At 36.1% G+C, this 21,394-nt stretch overlaps 1 protein-coding gene across 11 annotated transcripts in view; it reads left to right on the top strand.

The window, feature by feature from the left end:
- The window catches only part of LNPK (lunapark, ER junction formation factor), a 78,939-nt gene that overhangs the window by 39,009 nt on the left and 18,536 nt on the right, over positions 1-21,394 (top strand). For all 11 annotated transcript variants that reach the window (NR_130941.2, XM_006712783.3, NM_001305011.2 and 8 more), the window contains one exon: positions 16,120-16,332. Coding sequence is in view for 10 of the 11 variants with exons in the window: in XM_006712783.3 (XP_006712846.1) it covers positions 16,120-16,332 (213 nt within the window). In the remaining variant the exon portion in view is untranslated. The remainder of the gene's footprint in view (positions 1-16,119; positions 16,333-21,394) is intronic.

Raw genomic sequence — 21,394 nt, 5'->3', positions numbered from 1 at the left:
AAGTGGTTACATAAAATATTCCCCAGACTGGCATGGGAAAAGATATTCTGAGTTTGCAATGACTTTTGTCTTTGTTCTTTTCTTTTTTTTTAATTAATTAATTTATTTATTATATTTTAAGTTTTAGGGTACATGTACACAATGTGCAAGTTAGTTACATATGTATATATGTGCCATGTTGGTGCACTGCACCCACTAACTTGTCATCTAGCATTAGGTATATCTCCCAATGCTATCCCTCCCCCGCCACCACCCCACAACAGTCCCCAGAGTGTGATGTTCCTCTTCCTGTATCCATGTGTTCTCATTGTTCAATTCCCATCTATGAGTGAGAATATGCAGTGTTTGGTTTTTTGTTCTTGTGATAGTTTACTGAGAATGATGATTTCCAATTTCATCCATGTCCCTACAAAGGACATGAACTCATCATTTTTTATGGCTGCATAGTATTCCATGGTGTATATGTGCCACATTTTCTTAATCCAGTCAATCATTGTTGGGCATTTGGGTTGGTTCCAAGTCTTTGCTATTGTGAATAATGCCGCAATAAACATACATCTGCATGTGTCTTTATAGCAGCATGATTTATAGTCCTTTGGGTATATACCCAGTAATGGGATGGCTGGGTCAAATGGTATTTCTAGTTCTAGATCCCTGAGGAATCGCCACACTGACTTCCACAAGGGTTGAACTAGTTTACAGTCCCACCAACAGTGTAAAAGTGTTCCTATTTCTCCACATCCTCTCCAGCACCTGTTGTTTCCTGACTTTTTAATGATTGCCATTCTAACTGGTGTGAGATGGTATCTCATTGTGGTTTTGATTTGCATTTCTCTGATGGCCAGTGATGATGAGCATTTTTTCATGTGTTTTTTGGCTGCATAAATGTCTTCTTTTGAGAAGTGTCTGTTCATGTCCTTCGCCCACTTTTTGATGGGGTTGTTTGTTTTTTTCTTGTAAATTTGTTTGAGTTCATTGTAGATTCTGGATATTAGCCCTTTGTCAGATGGGTAGATTGCAAAAATTTTCTCCCATTCTGTAGATTGCGTGTTCAGTCTGATGGTAGTTTCTTCTGCTGTGCAGAAGCTCTTTAGTTTAATTAGATCCCATTTGTCTATTGTGGCTTTTGTTGCCATTGCTTTTAGTGTTTTAGACATGAAGTCCTTGCCCATGCCTGTGTCCTGAATGGTATTGCCTAGGTTTTCTTCTAGGTTTTTTATGGTTTTAGGTCTAACATTTAAGTCTTTAATACATCTTGAATTAATTTTTGTATAAGGTGTAAGGAAGGGATGCAGTTTCAGCTTTCTGCATATGGCTAGCCAGTTTTCCCAGCACCATTTATTAAACAGGGAATCTTTTCCCCATTTCTTGTTTTTGTCAGGTTTGTCAAAGATCAGATGGTTGTAGATGTGTGGTGTTATTTCTGAGGCCTCTGTTCTGTTCCATTGGTCTATATATCTGTTGTGGTACGAGTACCATGCTGTTTTGGTTACTGTAGCCTTGTAGTATAGTTTGAAGTCAGGAAGTGTGATGCCTCCAGCTTTGTTCTTTTTGCTTAGGATTGTCTTGGCAATGCAGGCTCTTTTTTGGTTCCATATGAACTTTAAAATAGTTTTTTCCAATTCTGCGAAGAAAGTCACTGGTAGCTTGATGGGGATGGCATTGAATCTATAAATTACCTTAGGCAGTATGTCCATTTTCACGATATTGATTCTTCCTATCCATGAGCATGGAATGTTCTTCTATTTGTTTGTGTCCTCTTTTATTTCGTTGAGTAGTGGTTTGTAGTTCTCCTTGAAGAGGTCATTCACATCTCTTGTAAGTTGGATTCCTAGGTATTTTATTCTCTTTGAAGCAATTGTGAATGGGAGTTCACTCATGATTTGGTTCTCTGTTTGTCTGTTAATGGTGTATAAGAATGCTTGTGATTTTTGCACATTGATTTTGTATCCTGAGACTTTGCTGAAATTGCTTATCAGCTTAGGGAGATTTTGGGCTGAGATGATGGGGTTTTCTAAATACACAAGCATGTCATCTGCAAAAAGGGACAATTTGACTTCCTCTTTTCCTAATTGAATACCCTTTATTTCTTTTTCCTGCCTGATTGCCTTGGCCAGAACTTCCAACCCTATGTTGAATAGGAGTGGTGAGAGAGGGCATCCCTGCCTTGTGCCAGTTTTCAAAGGGAATGCTTCCAGTTTTTGCCCATTCAATATGATATTTGCTGTAGGTTTGTCATAAATAGCTCTTATTATTTTGAGACACGTCCCATCAATACCTAGTTTATTGAGAGTTTTTAGCATGAAGGGCTGTTGAATTTTGTCGAAGGCCTTTTCTGCATCTATTGAGATAATCATGTGGTTTTTGTCTTTGGTTCTGTTTGTGTGATGGATTACATTTATTGATTTGCATATGTTGAACCAGCCTTGCATCCCAGGGATGAAGCCAACTTGATCATCATGCATAAGCTTTTTGATGTGCTGCTGGATTCAGTTCACCAGTATTTTATTCAGGATTTTCGCATCGATGTTCATCAGGGATATTGGTCTAAACTTCTTTTTGTTGTGTCTCTGCCAGGCTTTGGTATCAGGCTGATGCTGGCCTCATAAAATGAGTTAGGGAGGATTCCCTCCTTTTGTATTGTTTGGAATAGTTTCAGAAGGAATGGTGCCAGCTTCTCTTTGTACCTCTGGTAGAATTCAGCTGTGAATTCATTTGGTCCTGTAATTTTTTTGGTTGGTAGGCTATTATTGCCTCAATTTCAGAGCCTGTTATTAGTCTATTCAGGGATTCAGTTTCTTCCTGGTTTAGTCTTGGGAGGGTGTATGTGTCCAGGAATTTATCCATTTCTTCTAGATTTTCTAGTTTATTTGCATAGAGGTGTCTATAGTATTCTCTTATGGTAGTTTGTATTTCTGTGGGATCAGTGGTGATATCCCCTTTATCATTTTTTATTGTGTCTATTTGATTCTTCTCTCTTTTCTTCTTTACTAGTCTTGCTAGTGGTCTATCTATTTTGCTGGTCTTTTCAAAAACCAGCTCCTGGAGTCATTGATTTTTTGAAGGGTTTTTTTGTGTCTCTATCTCCTTCAGTTCTGCTCTGATCTTAGTTATTTCTAGCCTTCTGCTAGCTTTTGAATGTGTTTGCTCTTGCTTCTCTAGTTCTTTTAATTGTGTTGTTAGCGTGTCGATTTTAGATCTTCCCTGCTTTCTCTTGTGGGCATTTAGTGCTATAAATTTCCCTCTACACGCTGCTTTAAATGTGTCCCAGAGATTCTGATATGTTGTGTCTTTGTTCTTATTGATTTCAAAGAACATCTTTATTTCTGCCTTCATTTTGTTATTTACCTAGTAGTCATTCAGGAGCAGGTTGTTCAGTTTCCATGTAGTTGTGTGGTTTTGAGTGAGATTCTTAATCCTGAGTTCTAATTTGATTGCACCCTGGTCTGAGAGACAGTTTGTTGTGATTTCTGTTCTTTTACATTTGCTGAGGAGTGCTTTATTTCCAACTATGTGATCAATTTTGGAGTAAGTGCGATGTGATGCTGAGAAGAATGTATATTCTGTTGATTTGGGGTGGAGAGTTCTGTAGATCCCTATTAAGGCAGCTTGGTGCAGAGCTGAGTTCAAGTCGTGGATATCCTTGTTAACCTTCTGTCTCGTTGATCTGTCTAATATTGACAGTGGGGTGTTAAAGTCTCCCATTATTGTGTGGGAGTGTAAGTCTCTTTGTAGGTTGCTAAGGACTTACCTTATGAATCTGGGTGCTCCTGTGTTGGGTGCATATATATTTAGGATAGTTAGCTCTTCTTGTTGAATTGACTCCTTTACCATTATGTAATGGCCTTCTTTGTCTCTTTTGATCTTTGTTGGTTTAAAGTCTGTTTTCTCACAGACTAGAATTGTAACCCCTGCTTTTTTTTTTGTTTTCCATTTGCTTGGTAGATCTTCCTCCATCCCTTTATTTTGAGCCTATATGTGTCTCTGCACATGAGATGGGTTTCCTGAATACAGCACACTGATGGGTCTTGACTCTATCCAGTTTGCCAGTCTGTGTCTTTTAATTGGGGCATTTAGCCCATTTACATTTAAGGTTAATATTGTTATATGTGAATTTGATCCTGTCGTTATGATGTTAGCTGGTTATTTTGCTTGTTAGTTGACGCAGTTTCTTCCAAACATCAATAGTCTTTACAATTTGGCATGTTTTTGCAGTGGCTGGTACCGTTAGTTCCTTTCCATGTTTAGTGCTTCCTTCAGGAGCTCTTGTAAGGCAGGCCTGGTGGTGACAAAGTCTCTCAGCATTTGCTTGTCTGTAAAGGATATTATTTCTCCTTCACTTATGAAGCTTAGTTTGGCTGGATATGAAATTCTGGGTTGAAAATTCTTTTAAGAATGTTGAATATTGACCCCCGCTCTCTTCTGTCTCGTAGTTTCTGCTGAGAGATCTGCTGTTAGTCTGTTGGGCTTCCCTTTGTGGGTAACTCGACTTTTCTCTCTGGCTGCACTTAACATTTTTTCCTGCATTTCAACCTTGGTGAATCTGACAATTACGTGTCTTGGGGTTGCTCTTGTCAAGGAGTATCTTTGTGGTATTCTCTGTATTTCCTGGATTTGAATGTTCACCTACCTTGCTAGGTTGGGAAAGTTCTCCTGGATAATATCCTGAAGAGTGTTTTCCAGCTTGGTTCCATCCTCCCCATCACTTTCAGGTACACCAATGAAACGTAGATTTGGTCTTTTCACATAGTCCCATATTTCTTGGATGCTTTGTTCATTTCTTTTTACTCTTTTCTCTCTAAACTTCTTGCTTCATTTCATTCATTTGATCTTCAATCACTGATACCCTTTCTTCTGTTTGATGAAATCGGCTACTGAAGCTTGTGCATGCATCACGTAGTTCTCGTGCTATGGTTTTCAGCTCCATCAGGTCATTTAAGGTCTTCTCTATGCTGTTTATTCTAGTTAGCCATTTGTCTAATCTTTTTTCAAGGTTTATAGCTTCCTTGCGATGGGTTCGAACATCCTCCTTTAGCTTGGAGAAGTTTGTTATTACTGACCTTCTGAAGCCTTCTTCTCTCAACTTGTCAAAGTTGTTCTCCATCCAGCTTTGTTCCTTTTCTGGCAAGGAGCTGCAATCCTTCGGAAGAGAAGAGGTGCTCTGGTTTTTAGAATTTTCAGCTTTTCTGCTCTGGTTTCTCCCCATCTTTGTGGTTTTATCTACCTTTGGTATTTGATGATGGTGACCTATAGATGGGGTTTTGGTGTAGATGTCCTTTTTGTTGATGTTGATACTATTCCTTTCTGTTTGTTAGTTTTCCTTCTAACAGTCAGGACCCTCAGCTGCAGGTCGGTTGCAGTTTGCTGGAGGTCCACTCCAGACCCTGTTTGCCTGGGTATCACCAGAGGAGGCTGCAGAGCAGCAAATATTGCTGCCTGATCCTTCCTGTGGACGCTTCGTCCCAGAGGGGCACCCGGCTGTATAAGGTGTCGGTCGACCCCTACTGGCAGGTGTCTCCCAGTTAGGCTACACAGTGGTCAGGGACCCACTTGAGGAGGCAGTCTGTCTGTTCTCAGAGCTCAAACTCCATGCTGGGAGAACCAGTGCTCTCTTCAGAGCTGTCAGACAGGGACATTTTAAGTCTGCAGAAGTTTCTGCTGCCTTTTGTTCAGCTATGCCCTGCCCCCAGAGGTGGAGTCTACAGAGGCAGGCAGGCCTGGTTGAGCTGAGGTGGACTCCACCCAGTTCGAGCTTCCTGGCCCCTTTGCTTACCTACTCAAGCCTCAGCAATGGCAGACGCCCCTCCCCCACCCCAGGCTGCTGCCTTGCAGTTGGATCTCGGACTGCTGTGCCAGCAGTGAGCAAGGCTCCGTGGGCATAGGATCTGCCAAACCAGACACGGGATATAATCCCCTGGTGTGTGGTTTGCTCAGACTGTTGGAAAAGCACAGTATTAGGGCGGGAGTGTACCGATTTTCCAGGTAGTGTCTGTGACGGCTTCCCTTGGCTTGGAAAGGGAAATCTCCTGACTCCTTGCACTTCCCAGGTGAGGCAATGCCCCGCCCTGCTTCAGCTCATCGTCTGTGGGCTGCACCCACTGGCCAACCAGTCCCAGTGAGATGAACCAGGTACCTCAGTTGGAAATCCAGAAATCACCTGTCTTCTGTGTTGATCGTGCTGGGAGCTGCAGACTAGAGCTGTTCCTATTCGGGCATCTTGGAATGATCTGCAATAGTATCCATGTGGAATAATTAATGATGGAGGAGAGAGTAGGGAGAATTGATTTGGAACTGTCCATGAGTAGGCAAGAGGGGATGTGATCTAGTATACAAGTGGAGAAGTCGGCTTTTGACAAGTGTGTGATAGCTCATCTTTAGCAATGAGGAAAGTCTGAGAACATGGGAAGACATAGGTAGGTGGCTGGGTTCTTTTTTTGAGATGTTTTCTTTTTTTGAGATGAAGTCTCACTGTATCACCCAGGCTGGAGTGCAGTGGCGTGATCTCGGCTTGCTGCAACCTCTGCCTCCAAGGTTCAAGTGATTCTCCTGCCTCAGCCTCCTGAGTAGCTGGGATTACAGGTGCCCGCCATGACACCCGGCTAATTTTTGTAGTTTTAGTAGATACGGGGTTTCACCATGTCAGCCAGGCTGGTCTCAAACTCTTGACCTCAAGTGATCTGCCCACCTCAGCCTCCCAAAGTTTTGGGATTATAGGTGTGAGCTACTGCGCCCAGCCAATTTTCTGATTGTATCTCTATTTTCTTAGTGAGGATGAGGTTGGGGGAGATAATGTTGGAGGCTTGAAGAAAAGGTATGGAATAATGCCAGGGGACTCTAAAGGCTACTTAAAATGAATAGTCATAAATTTAATGCAGGATTCTGTGTGCTTTTCCAGTTACAGTCACCCGTGTAGGTGCCAGCATGGAGTAGGCAAATGGTTGGTTTTAAGCAGGGTTGGGGTTTTGCCTCATGTGTTAGATAATTTGATAAGGGGGCCAGGAGCTGAAGTTGTTTGTAGGCGAGCCATTATCACAATGGATTATGGAATTTAAGACGATTATGAGGGAAATAAAGACATGAGTGGTAGTGATGGACAGTCAAAAGGTGTTGGTAGTATTAATACAGGAATCCACAAACTGCAACCTGCAAATGTAGGCCAAGACCTGTGTTTTATGGTTCTTCAGCTTAGAATGTTTTCACATTTTCAAAGCATTTTAAAAAATAAAGAGTAAGAATATGCAACAGGAGCTTATGTGGTCTGCAAAGCCTAAAATGTTTATTATGTGGCTCTTTCCAAAAATGTTCACTGACCTATTAATAATTAATGGGTTATAGATCTTGCAGTTGGAGGAGGTAAGCTGAGAGGTTAGTGGTTGGAGAACAGGATGCTTAAACCTGAGAAGTGATCAGTTATTTCTGGTTGCAAAGTTATAGGAATAGGTTATCACCATAGGAGTAAATGATTGAAATAGGGAGAATGATCAGATTTTTGGAGGATGCCCTAAAAATGAAATCTTTTTTTTTTTTTTTTTTGAATACATGGTCTCACTGTCACCCAGGCTGGAGTGCAGTGGTGTCATCATGGCTTACTGCGACCTCAACATCCTGGGCTCCAGCCATCCTCCCACCTCAGCCTCCTGAGTAGCTGGGACTACGAGTATGTACCACCGTGCCCAGCTAATTTTTTAACTTTTTGTAGAGATGGGGTTTCACTATGTTGCCCAGGCTGGTCTTGAACTCCTGGGCTCAAGCGATCCATCAGCCTCGGCCTCCCAAAGTGCTAGAATTACAGGCCTTAATCACCACGCCCAGCCTAAAAAATCCTTAACTGACCCTCCTATTGTTTTCTAGGAGGACACCACCTATACATTTTCTTTTGCCTTTTGTACTCAGCCCTGCACCTTTACTAATGAAATGTAACAAAAGAAAAGTCAATTGTATCTTGCCACAGCTAAATTCAAAATCAGTTATTTTTGCAGAGACATTTAATGGTTTTAGCAAATAGAGTACAACTTCTTATTTCAGTAGGTTTTAGAGTTTACTCACTTGTGTTCCATAGCATGTATTGAAAATTAAAGTAGAAATTATAGATCTTTTTTTGATCTTTATACCAAATGGAGCAATACTTTATATTTTGCTGTTTTTTGGGCATGTGTTTGATTCAGAGAACGTGAAAAATGCCTTATAAAATAATAAATTCACCTTAATAAATTTGCCTTGTAAGAAATTTGGATGTTCTTTACATAAGTATCAAATTCATACTGTTACAATTGTTTAGTATATAACAAACCATCCTGAAATTTAGTGATTTAACACAGCATTCTTTTTTTGCTCATGAAATTTGCTTGGCTAGGGTTTGGTGGAGACAGCTTATCTGTGTCTCACATCAGTTAGAGCTACTTTACTGAGCTAGAGGATCTACTATCAAGGTGGTTTACACAGCTGGCAAGTTGGTGCTGGCTGTTGTTTCCTCTCCACATGGACTTCTCTCGGGTCAGTTGAGCTTACTCTTCCCTGGTGGCAGGTTCCAAGACCAGGGAGCATAGGAGACAAAAAGTCCTGGATTCTGGCACAACTTTGTTCTCTTTGTCAGAGTACAATTTCAAGGGGAGGGTACACAGACACCCTCTGCTCCCGTTTGTTGAAAGGAGAATCAAAGGATTTTGGAGTCTTATTTTAAAACTGCCACATGTACTTTAATATAGATAACAAAGGCATTTCTATCCCAATCCAGTTTTCATTGTTTATCTCAAATGCCATCATCACTGTAAACCCTTTCTTCAGCCCATCTAGATGACTAAGTTGTCAGTCCTCACCTCTTGTGAAGTCCTCACTTCACTCTATAGTACTTTGTTGGCTCCCATTATATGGCATTTAGCTTGTATTAGAATATTTAGTGAGTTTGTTTTTCTTATCTTAAAGTTAGCTTGCTACCTCTATATGCAACTCTGAATCCCCTTCAATGTGCTTATGCTGGTGCTTTACTCTTAGTGGTTGCTTAATAAATGAGTTGAAGAAAATAAAAGTAAACATTTATTTTGGCATTGCTGTATTTTGTTTAAATGTTATAAAATAGTAATTTACCAAATAGGACCTTGGTGAACTGCAGGGTTCATGTTGTTTAATGTTGAGATTGCTAGAAGTTAGGCCAGATCAAAAATAAATTATTAAGGTGATAAAGGAAAGTAAATGTTAAGACAAAGAACTATAAAGCAAAATGTATTTTTAATTTGAAAAGCAGAACAAAAGAACAAACTCAACTAAAGGCTGGCAAGTGATATATATTATTATTAATAGAAAACTTTCTGCTTAAAGATAGCTTTTCTGTATGGACTTCTGAAGTTAAGCTGAGATTCTAAATGCAGCAGGCTGATTAGCAATCTTAATTCTATCTGCAATCTTTATCTGCCTTGCATGTAACATATTTACAGAATGGACAAGAAGATGGGGACGTTTTTGAGAGGCCATTTTCCTGTTTATCACTCTAAATAAGTTGGGTAGCAGGCAGTTGGAAATTTAACATTGAAATGCAAGAGGAAAATAGATTGATTTCATAGGTGTTTATTAAGCTCATACTCTGTACCAGTTACCTTTCCCACATCATGTGTCTACAGAGATGTAGTTCCTGCTTATTAGCTTTTGATTAAAAGGGGTATACACATGTAATAAACGGTATGGTAAGGACCAAAATGAAGATAGGCACAAATTACAATGCATTATAACTTTTAATAATAATTTGCTGTGAGAATAGGATTGAAAAAGTACTCTTCAGGTAAAGGATTTACTCCGTGTGCAAGCACTGGAAGAGAGAAACAACTTGGCACCTCGAGGCACTACAAATATTGCCATATCCCTGAAAAAGGAAAGTAGGGGTCATATGAAGGAGGGATCAAATTATGAAGGGCTTTTTCTGCATCATTATGTAGTATAGTTCTGGAGTTCAGGACTTTATCTTATACACAACATATAAAGTCAATGGAGGCTTTGAATTTTACATCAAGTTAGCATTTTATGAAGAATACTTTTTTTTTTTTTTTTTTAGTAACATGGAGGTTATGTTGGATTGGAGAGAATATGACTGAGCCATAGAGAACAATTAGGAATATCATCTAATATAGTTAAAAGATAAAGGCCTGTACTAGATAAGGTTACAGCAATAGCGTTGGGGAAAAAGAAGAGATTTGAGAGATAATTCAGGAGTAGATTGATACAGGCAATTAGATTTGGAAAGCGGGGCAGGGGTTGGGGGTGGGAGGAAGAATCAAGATGTGACCTACGTTTTTGTTTGGACAACTGCTTAGGTGTTAGTATGTTAAGCCAGATAAAGAACATAATTGGAATACTGGTTTCTGTAGAAGATAATGAATTTACTTTTGGTTCTGTTGAATGGGAGTTATAGCAAGATGCTGAGGTTCATAGGTAGTTGATTATTTCATATGGAGCTCAGGAGAAAGGTTGAGGTTATAGATATACAGATTAGAAATAATTGGGAGGCATAGGTGATTATTATTGGAATATGAGATTGAGTGAAATTGCCCAGAGAGAGAAAATAGAGTAAGAGCACCTAAGACAGAACTACAGGGAACATTGACATTTAAGAGTAGATGAAGAAAGAAGAGCCCAGGAAAAAGAATGAATGATCAGAGTCAAAAGTAGAGCTAGATTGGTAGTAAGTAGAAGACTGAAATGAGGCCTTTGAATTTGACAGGTTGCATAACACAGAGAATATGGGCATTTTTGTCATAAAAACCAGAATTTGAATCCTGGCTCCATCTCTTATTTTACTGTGAGAATTTTAGCAAGTTACTTGGCCACTGAACTTTGGTTTCTTCTTTTGAAAACTGGGGATAGGAGTTACCCCAAAGGATTGATATAAATAGTAGATGAAATTAGTAAATTCATATATAGTGCCTAGCATGGTTCCTAGCAGAAAATAGGGATTTGATAAAGAGTAGCTATGTTAATGCAACATTAGTAGTGGTATTATAATGTTGTTGGTGACCAAAGCAGTGATACTTTCAGTGGTGGGTAATACTGTGGTAGCTAAAAAGGAGCACAAAAACCAGATTGAGTTGGGTTAAGAAGTGAAATGCAGAGAAGTTTTTTTTTTTGTTTTTCAAAAAGCTTTGCCTCTATAGGAAGGAAGAGGTTATAAAGTCATTTTTTAGCAATAAAAAGACATTGACCTATTGAGAGTACAATTTGAATAGCGAAATAGGGTAGAAGGTGAATTTGGAGCAGCTTAGTATGAGTGGATGTGAACAGAAGATACAGTGACCATGGACTTCAGAAAGTTTTGAAAGTAGAAGGAAGAGATGTCTTTATTATTTTGATTATTTAAAGGAATTACATTCAAATAAGTTAAAAAATACAGAACTGAAAACAATAGAAATTTACCTGAAAATATATCCCTGTGCCCTAACTATAGTACTATAGTATAAAATTATACTATAGTATAATTTTTTTCACAATTACAAAAAGCAAAATTCACCCTAAGAGTTTCCACATTTGCATATGTGAATAGGCTTAAAGATTCCCCCACCCCCATTACTAAAATCCAATTTCTGAAATTTTCTCTTATGAGTCTTAGAACTGGACATGGGAGTTCAGAAAGCCTTTGACCAGTGCTAGGGAAAATATGAATATTGCCTTTGTAGTTTTGCCAACACTCATATTAAGGAAATTTGGAACCTAGTGGGGTTTTAGTTCACGTAAGGAGCAAGAAAAAACAATCCCATCAAAAAGTGGGCTAAGAACATGAATAGACAATTCTCAAAAGAAAATATACAAATGGGCAACAAACATGAAAAAATGCTCAACATCACTAATGATCAGGGAAATGCAAATCAAAACCAAAATGCAATACCACCTTACTCCTGCAAGAATGGCCATAATAAAAAAATTAAAAAAATAGAAGATGTTGGTGTGGGTGTGGTGAACAGGGAACACTTCTACACTGCTGGTGGGAATGTAAACTAGTACAACCACTGTGGAAAACAGTATGGAGATTTCCTTAAAAAATAAAAGTAGAACTACCATTTGATCCAGCAATCCCACTATGGGGTTTCTACCCAGAGGAAAATAAGTCATTATACGAAAAAGATACTTGCACATACATGTTTATAGCAGCACAATTCGCAATCACAAAAATGTGGAACCAACCCAAATGTCATTAACCAATGAGTGGATAAAGAAACTGAGATATATATATATATATATATATATATGAATGATGGAATACTACTCAGCCATAAAAAGGAATGAATTAACAGCATTCACAGTGACCTGGATGAGATTGGAGACTATTACTCTAAGTGAAGTAACTCAGGAATGGAAAACCAAACATCGTATGTTCTCACTCATAAGTGGCAGCTAAGCTGTGAGGGTGCAAAGGCATAAGAATGACACAATGGACTTTGGGGACTCAGGGGAAAGGGCGGGAAGGGGATGGGAATAAAAGACTACAAATAGGTGCAGTGTATACTGTTTGGGTGATGGGTGCACCAAGATCTTAAAATCACCACTAAAGAACTTACTCATGTAACCGAACACCACCTGTTCCTCAGTAACCTATGGAAATAATAAAGGAACTGGTACTATTAACTAGATGAAAATCCAGGCCTCCTAATTATTGTATGGTGTTCTTCCTACCACAGCTTGATAATAGAACAAAGACAAAACCTTCTAGCAGCATAAAAAGAGTATTTAAAAAATCTGATAAATTAAGGGACGAGTATTTGTATTATAAAACATTCATCCCAATATTATTTAATGGCAAGCTAGAATTATACATTTAAGTTTTTATATAAGTTGTGAATTTATACATGTAAATGACTTCACAAATAACTAAGGGAACATTTAATGTGTAAATTAGTATCTATATATTTTAAATAATTGCCTTAGAAATTCTAGATTGCTTAGTTTTTGATTTATAATAATCGTTGGAACCTTTAGATATGCACTATTTCTGCTAATAGTTATTGCCTGTTAAGTACTTCGCATGTGCTTTGGCTGAGTTCTTTGTCTTGATTTTGTCATTTAATCTTTACAACAAGCATAAGAGGTAAGTATTCGCATTATGAGAAAGCTGAACTGAGTGATGTCATCAACTTGGAAAAGGTAGCATACACATCTAGTAAACAGGGTGGAGCTAAAATTATGACCATTTGGTCCCAGAGTCTTTGCTTTGCACAGCTATGCTGTTTTATCATTAATTTAAGCTTCTGTTTAATATAGTAGTTTTAAAAATATATCATTTGGATTCTATTTGCTTCATTTTTAATTGATATATAATTGTACATATTTTTGGGGTTACATACTTGCATACAATTTATGATGATTAAATCAAGGTAATTGGGATATCTGTCACCTCAAACATTTATCTTTTATTTATGTTGAGAACATTCCAATTCTTCTCTTCTAGCTATTTTGAATGACACATTATTGTTAATTGTAGTCACCCTACTGTACTGTCAAACACTAGCTCTTATTCCTCCTATGTATGTTTTTGTACCCACTAACCAACCTTTATTCATAACCCTTAATAAGTAACCTCTTTGAAAAGAACTTGGTGATGGGTCTGTTTGCTTCATTTTGAATTTAAACCTAATATAGGCATGTCATCATCCTCAGTGAGTATGATTTTTGTTGGGTCATTGATCATTGATGAGGGTGTTAAAACATACTACGGTTGAGAATTAACCTTATGGCATGCTCCTTATGATTTTTTGCCAGATTCATGTGGAATGCTTGGTGGCTCTTTTGGGGGCTTTGTATCTTACGTTTAAGGCAGGAAATGTTGAACATATCTAATATGACTATTTTGTTGAGTACTGGAAACTTTTTAGAGTAATTAATACAAAACTTTATGAATCACAAGTAGTTAAAAGTAGATAAATCTGAGGTATTTTAAATTGAGACTACCAGAACATTTTATAATAGTTTGACAAATACAGATTTGGTACCTTGTTATTTTGAACTATTGAAGATATTGTAACCCTTGATACTTGCTTTTCCTTTGAAAATGATGAAACTACATTTTCTCCCTTTTGTAACTCTGCTATAACATTTTCCCCCTTTTCCTAAATTTAGATTTAGAATTATTAAGGTACATCTCTTTTATGGAATGCTTGACATGGTGTCCTTTGTTAGCTAGTCTCCTTTCAGTGGTGTACTAGTGATAGTAAAAGCATTTCAGGTAATTTTCACTGGGTAAATGCACATTTAGAGGAAGTAGTCTCAAGTCTTCGTGAAGAGGAAGGATAATAGCTGCTTTTATATAGTCTAATAAATGCTAAACTTTCATTTATCTGGAAGAAAAATGCCACTTTTTGAGTTATGCTTTACCTGAAAGTTGGCTGAAAAATGATTTACAGTATTTGATGCCTTATTTTTAAATGAGTAGTTTAAATTATCAAATCCTAATATGATTTTATTGATTTCAGTACCTTTTGCAGCATTTAATGGCTTTCCTAATATGCAACCACCTATTAAGGTGCTCCTTGTGAGTAAAAAATAAAGTTAGCAGCTAATTTGCAGACGTTAGGATATGATTTGTTCAGGTAACAGCTGAAATTTTCTATATAAATTGCATGGAAAGTAGCAAAATATAAAGATGGTTCCATTTATATAATGATACTGTGCTTATAATTTATTATTGCCATGGCTTGGTTAAAGACTAAATTGTGAACCAATGGAAAATTAGTTGATCCCAGTAATTTTAGCTAAAATCATTTGAAAATACTTAGTTGTGTACAAAAACTGTCATCTGAAATAAGTATTCATTAAATGTGAGCTATCAGTTTGCAGACATTATCATATTTAATTCTCATAACAATTAGTTAATATTATCCTAATTTTACAGATAAAATAACAGGTTTATCAAAGTTAAGTAACCTATCTGAAGTCATGTAGCCAGAGCCAGGATTCCAACCAAATCTTTCTAACTGCAGGGCCCTGGTTCTTAGCTAGTAGACTAGATTGGGATGAACTAAGATCTGATGCTAGAGCTGTACTTTCAATTGCAATGAACTTTCATGTAATTCTTTAACTGTCAAATAAAGTCCAAGTGTTTTGCTTCTGGACATATGTATTTTTACTATTTATGCCAATTAAAAATTACTTACTTAGTTTCAGCTCACTAATTCAGGATTTGTGATAATTTAATGTGATAGGTAGAATTGAAAAAGTATAAAGGCTTCTTTATGTGAAATCTTACCACTGACATTCAAGTAAAATATTGGTGGGAATAGAGAATAATAGAATTCAATTTTATGTTACTGAGTACAAGTCATGAAACTTTTTTTGTAAAGAGCCAGATAGTAAATATAGTTAAATGGCCCTGAGAGCCATATGGTCTCTGTTGCAACTACTCTACTCTTCTAAAGCAGCCATAGACAATCTGTAAACAAAAGAACTGGCCTGTGTTCTAATAAAACTACAAAAGCAGGCGGCAGCCTGAATTTGGCATGCTTGCTGACCCCTGTTACAGAGAATCTTGTAATTTCTGTAACTATAAGCTAAGATGTATTAATGATGAAATGTTGTTTATATGGAGTAGATCTGTTGAATGTTTTGGCCAAAACAAATTTGCCAAAAGGATAGCAATACCATAAAGGAGAATGGAAATGGTACCTAATAGTAAAAATACTTTTTCAGCATTTCTATGACTACTTAGATTAATTACTTTGATAATTCCAGAATATACTTATTCACTTATCGCTTAGTTTTTAGTTTTTTAAATCTTGAAAAACAAATCTGCAATTTGGAGTTTTGACTAATTCTGATAAACTTTCTTTCCTTTATTATGATGAGGAAGATTACTTTAAAAAGACATGGCACATAATTGGGTGATTTCATTTTACTGGATTTGTTTTGAAAAGTGGTATCAGTAGCTACACTTAGATCATGGCTTGTTGTGTAAACATGTACAGTTGAACTGTAAGTTCAGAAATAGAGTACTTTGTTTTCAATGTCACATATTATAGATTTATTATTATAAGTAATTTTGACACTACAATGCCTTTTGGGGCGTAAAATTTTAATAAATATAAATTGTTTGTGATACTGGCTAATATGGTATATTGGAAATTAAGTCTAGTATGTACTTACTCTTCTCAGAGATTCGTCAGCGAACTGCAGCTCAAAGAAACCTTTCTCCAACACCAGCAAGCCCTAACCAGGGCCCTCCTCCACAAGTTCCAGTATCTCCTGGACCACCAAAGGACAGTTCTGCCCCTGGTGGACCCCCAGAAAGGACTGTTACTCCAGCCCTATCATCAAATGTGTTACCAAGACATCTTGGATCCCCTGCTACTTCAGTGCCTGGAATGGGTAAACAGAGCACTTAATGTTATTTACAGTTTATATTGTTTTCTCTGGTTACCAATAAAACGGGCCATTTTCAGGTGGTATGGAAATGGCATTTCATTTGGAAATAGCAGAGCAGTTATCTGATTAAGCAGGAGTTCCATATTCAATTAGCCATAACTCTTTACAGCTGGCACCTTGTGATACTGAAACCTATTTCTTGAGCTCATTTAACTGTTATGGCTTCTTTGTTTAAATAGCAATAAAACTTTGTATTATTCTGTAGCCAACAGTACAGCATATCTTTTTATATTCAACTTTAGAATGCCTCCAGATTTATATAAAACAGGGATAGAAGAAAACACTTTTGGAATGTATTGATGTTTTTTGCTCAACTCCATACATATATTTTTAAACATGACAACATATTTCAGGAATAATACTCCTGTATTGTATACTTTTGTTAATGTGGGCTAGTAGATTTTTTTTTTTTAAGGCATAGAACCTTAGTATTTTCTGATAGATATTTTATAAAGCTCTATTAAATGAACATATTCTCTTTATTTCATAGATTATCTCTTTTCACTGTGGTGGATCTCTAGGGGAAGATCCCATTCTGAAGTGTAATAGACTATAGTACCCTCCAGTTTCTTTTGGAGTGTGACTGGGGCATGGAAGTCCACTGCTTTAGCACAGATCACATTGTTTTATGTAGATTTCCATGTCATATTGTTGCATATGTTAGTAAATTATTTATTTTGTTTTAGATTATTCTAATGTAGATTACTTTGTTATTTCATGACTAATTACTAATATATAATTAATAATGATTTTGAGGCTAGGCAGTAGCTGATATCAGGTAATCAGAGTATTTGTGTAGTAAAATCAATAAAAAATGGAAATGTCACTTAGTACAGTAGATGTTTTTCCTGTTTTCCTTCAAAAATGCAGCATAAGATTTTAGAAGACTAAAAAAACTCTTCATTTATTAACAAATTAAGAATACTGACTATAAATGAAATGTATACAAATCTTAAAACTTTTAAAATAGTTACATAAAACAATACTTTTAAATTTGACATATAATGACAATACTTAAGGCAGCCATATATTTTATGAAATTGAGAAAAGTTAAATTGATTGAAAATTACTAATGTTTCTGTTGTTATCTGGTTGATTTGAGATACCCATGATTTGTAAATTAAAATTCCTGGTTGTTTAATGAAAGAACTTTTTTGGGTGCGAATGTATGGATTATATACATTTGTATATCTAACTTATTTTAAGCAAAAAGTTTAGCAACATATAAAGTAATAAAAATTGTATTGCACATGTAAGAATAGGGCTATAGAAGGAATAATAGCCTAGATTTTATGATCATGTAAATATAACATGTTTTACTGAAGTTTTTAATTAGTTTCTGTGTGAAAGACTGTGTTTAAATTGTACATTGTCAAAAATGTGAATGAGTTAAATAATTTATTATAAAGAAGATTAATACTTAGTTTTTTCTTTATGCCATATTTGTGGAAGAGAATCAATTTAATGTGTATTACCACAGAGCTCCCATATGTTTGAAAATTAATAACCAGCAGGTACTTGATAATTTGCCAAGCTGTGTAAAAATGACCAGTATTCCTACAATGATTGCTTTTGATGTTTGTGTTAATTACCATTGTCTATAACAGCATGCATATAAAGGTGCATGTGCAAGAGGTTTAAGATATTTTTATGAAATCTATTATTTCATGTATCCAGATTCTTTTGTGGATATGTTCACTTTAAATATGTAGAAGTAAAATACTCTTGCAAGTTAAGTTGGCTTAAATGCTTTCCAAATCTAATTTGGCTTGCTTATTCAAGTTGAAAATTTGATAATGAGGGATGACCATGTCTGGATTCAAGTTTATTTTTTGATGATAATAATTGAATGTTGTTAGCACAAGTAAACCAGTAACTTAGCTGATGGAATCTTTTTTTTTTTTTTTTTTTTCTTTTGAGACACAGTCTTGTTCTGTTGCCCAGGCTGGAGTGCAGTGTCATGGATCTTGGCTCACTGCAACCTCTGCCTTACGGGTTCAAGCAATTCTCCTGCCTCAGCCTGCCGAGTAGCTGGGATTACAGGTGGGCACCACCAGGCCTGGCTAATTTTTGTATTTTTAGTAGGAGTTTCGCCGTATTGGCCAGGCCGTTCTCAGACTCCTGACCTCAGGTGATCTGCCCACTTTGGTCTCCCAAAGTGCCGGGATTACAGGTGTGAGCCACTGTGCCCTGCCAGTGATGGAAACTTAAAAGTGTATTTGAGAGCCGGGCACGGTGGCTCACGCCTGTAATCCCGGCACTTTGGGAGGCGGAGATGGGCAGATCACCTGAGGTCAGGAGTTCAAGACCAGCCTGACTAACGCGGTGAAACCTCGTCTCTACTAAAAATACAAAAATTAGCCGGGCCTGGTGGCAGGTGCCTGTATTCCCAGCTACTTGGGAGGCTGAGGCAGGAGAATTGCTGGAACCTGGGAGGTGGAGGTTACAGTGAACTGAGATATCGCCACTGTGTCTCAAAAAAAAAACAAAGTGTACTTGATTTCTAATACTAAGAACTTGGTCTAGAACCTAACTTTTATTTACTAATAGCTATAATTTTGACATCAGTTGCCCTTTTATAGATGGTAATAGCCTTTAAGTTTGTGATTATTTACAAATCAAATTTCCTTTTTATTCCTTTAAATTATAAGAATTTAGTATAATGTAGTATTGCTATCCTAAAGCCATCTTGAATACTTGAAAGATTTTGTCATAGCCATTTTGAAACCCTTGTATCCCTATATTGCAGGGCATCTTCCAACAGGGTTCCATTTTGTTTCAGAGTCTTCTATGAAGTCTCCATGTAAACCTCCATTGCTGCCCACCTTATCATGTTCATTCTGTCTTGTTTTACAAAGGCAAACATCACATTTTATTTTATTCTGTCACTGTCTTCTCAGTGCCTTCTGTGTTGTCTCAATTCAGAGTATCTCCTGCAAATAGTTCTCTTTCAGTTTTCAGAGGTTATAGGGTTACAATTCATAATGTTTGAATGTGTAACTCTTTATTTTTGTTATTATTTTTATATAAAATAAAAATTATTAACTAAATTTTATGTGTTATTCCTCCACTCCCAACTCACCATTAGTATCTTATGATATTGTCTAATTTATTACATGAACACAGTATATTTCTCTTCACTTATTTATGTCATTAATTTCTTTCAGCAATGTTTTGTAGTGTTTGGTGTATAGATTTTGCACATTTTTTGGTTAAATTTACATCTAATTTCATATTTTAATGCTATTGTAAATGGTATTGTTTTATTAACTATTTCCAACTGGTTATTGCTAGTATATAGAAATACAATTGATTTTTGTATATTGCTCTTGTATCCTATAACCTTGATAAACTAATTTATTGGCTCTAGTTAGTATAACTTTTTTGTAGATTACATAGTATTTTCTACATAGCCACATTGTCTGAATAAAGAAAATTCTACTTCTCCCTTTCCAATCTGGTTTTCTTCTATTTATTTTTCTTACCTTATTATATGAGCTATAACCTTCAGTACAATGGTAATAGAAGTGCTAGGAGTGGACATCCTTGCCTTTTTGTTGGTCTTAGGGGAAAAGCAATTATTCTTTCACAGTTTTGCATGATGTTAGCTCTAGGGTTTTTTGTTTTAATAAATACTCCTTATCAGCTTGAAGTGCCCACCTATTCTTAGTTAGCTGAAGGTTTTCTTTTAAATCAGTAATAGATTGTGTATTTTTTCAAATGCTGTTTCTACATCTATTGAGATGTTTATATTGGGCTTTGTTTCTTTGTTTTAATGCCTGTTCATATAGTGAGTTACATTGATTTTTAAATGTTAAACTAACTTGCTTTCTTGGAATAAATCTCACTTGATCATGATGAATTATCTTATATGCATATTGTTGGCTTCGATTTGCTAATATTTTGTTAAAAATGTTTATATCAATACTCATTAGGAATATTGGGTCTGTGGTTTTTTTGTTTATTTTTTCCTTGTCATATCTTTGTCTGGTTTTGTTATCAGAGTTATCAGAGTTATGTCGGTTTCATTTCATAACGTTATGAGTAAGTATTCCCTATTCAATTCTCTGGACAATTTGTGTAGAATTGGTATTATTTCTTCCTTAATTTAAATGTTTCCTTAATTTTAAAGATATGACCAGTTGAAGCATCTGGGCCTGGTTATTTTTTTTTTTTTCTTCTGAGAGAAAAAGGTGTTTTTTTTTTTTAACTAAAAATTCAGTTTCTTTAAGAAAAACTGTGACCAATATCACACATGATCATAGGGGCAAAAATTCCTAACAAAATTTTAACATAATTATTTTTATCTTCTTGAGTGAACTTCGGTAGTTTGGTAGTCTTTCAAGGAATTCGTCCATTTTATCTAACCTATAGAATTTATTGGCATTAAGTTGCTTGTAATAGTCCCTAATTATTCTTTTAATGTTTTTACAATCCGTAGTTATGGCATTTTTCTCCTTTCTGATATTAATAGTTTGTATCTTCTTTTTTTTTTTTCCTGATTAGTCTGGCTAGAGGTTAACAATTATATTGATCTTTTCAAAGAACCAGCTTTTCTTTATTATTTTTGTATTTTCTGTTGTATTAATTTCCTCTCTGATCTTTATTATTTCTTTTATTCTGTACTTTGGGTTTCATTTGCTCTTCTTTTTTAGTTTCTTAATGTGGAAGCTGAAATTATGGATTTTAGTCCTATCTTCTTTTGTAATATAGGTGTTTAATATTATAAATTTTTTCTTTTAAGTATTGCTTTAGCTGCATATTATAAATTTTGATTTTTTTTCCATTTTCATTCAGTTCAAAATACTTTCTAATTTTCATTTTTTCTTTGAATCCTGGGTTATTCAAATGTATGTTATTTAGTCACCAAATATTTGGAGATTTTTCAGATGTTTATCTGCTGCTGATTTCTAATTTAATTATTTTGTTAGAAAACATACATTGTGTTACGTGAATCTTCTTATGTGTATTGATACTTGTTTTATGTCTGAGAATGCCATGTATT

This window comes from Homo sapiens, chromosome 2, assembly GCF_000001405.40.
Source record: "Homo sapiens chromosome 2, GRCh38.p14 Primary Assembly".
Classification (NCBI taxonomy): Eukaryota; Metazoa; Chordata; class Mammalia; order Primates; family Hominidae; genus Homo; species Homo sapiens.
The sequence above is the reverse complement of the archived record's forward strand: the minus strand, read 5'-3'. Positions and strand labels throughout refer to the sequence as shown.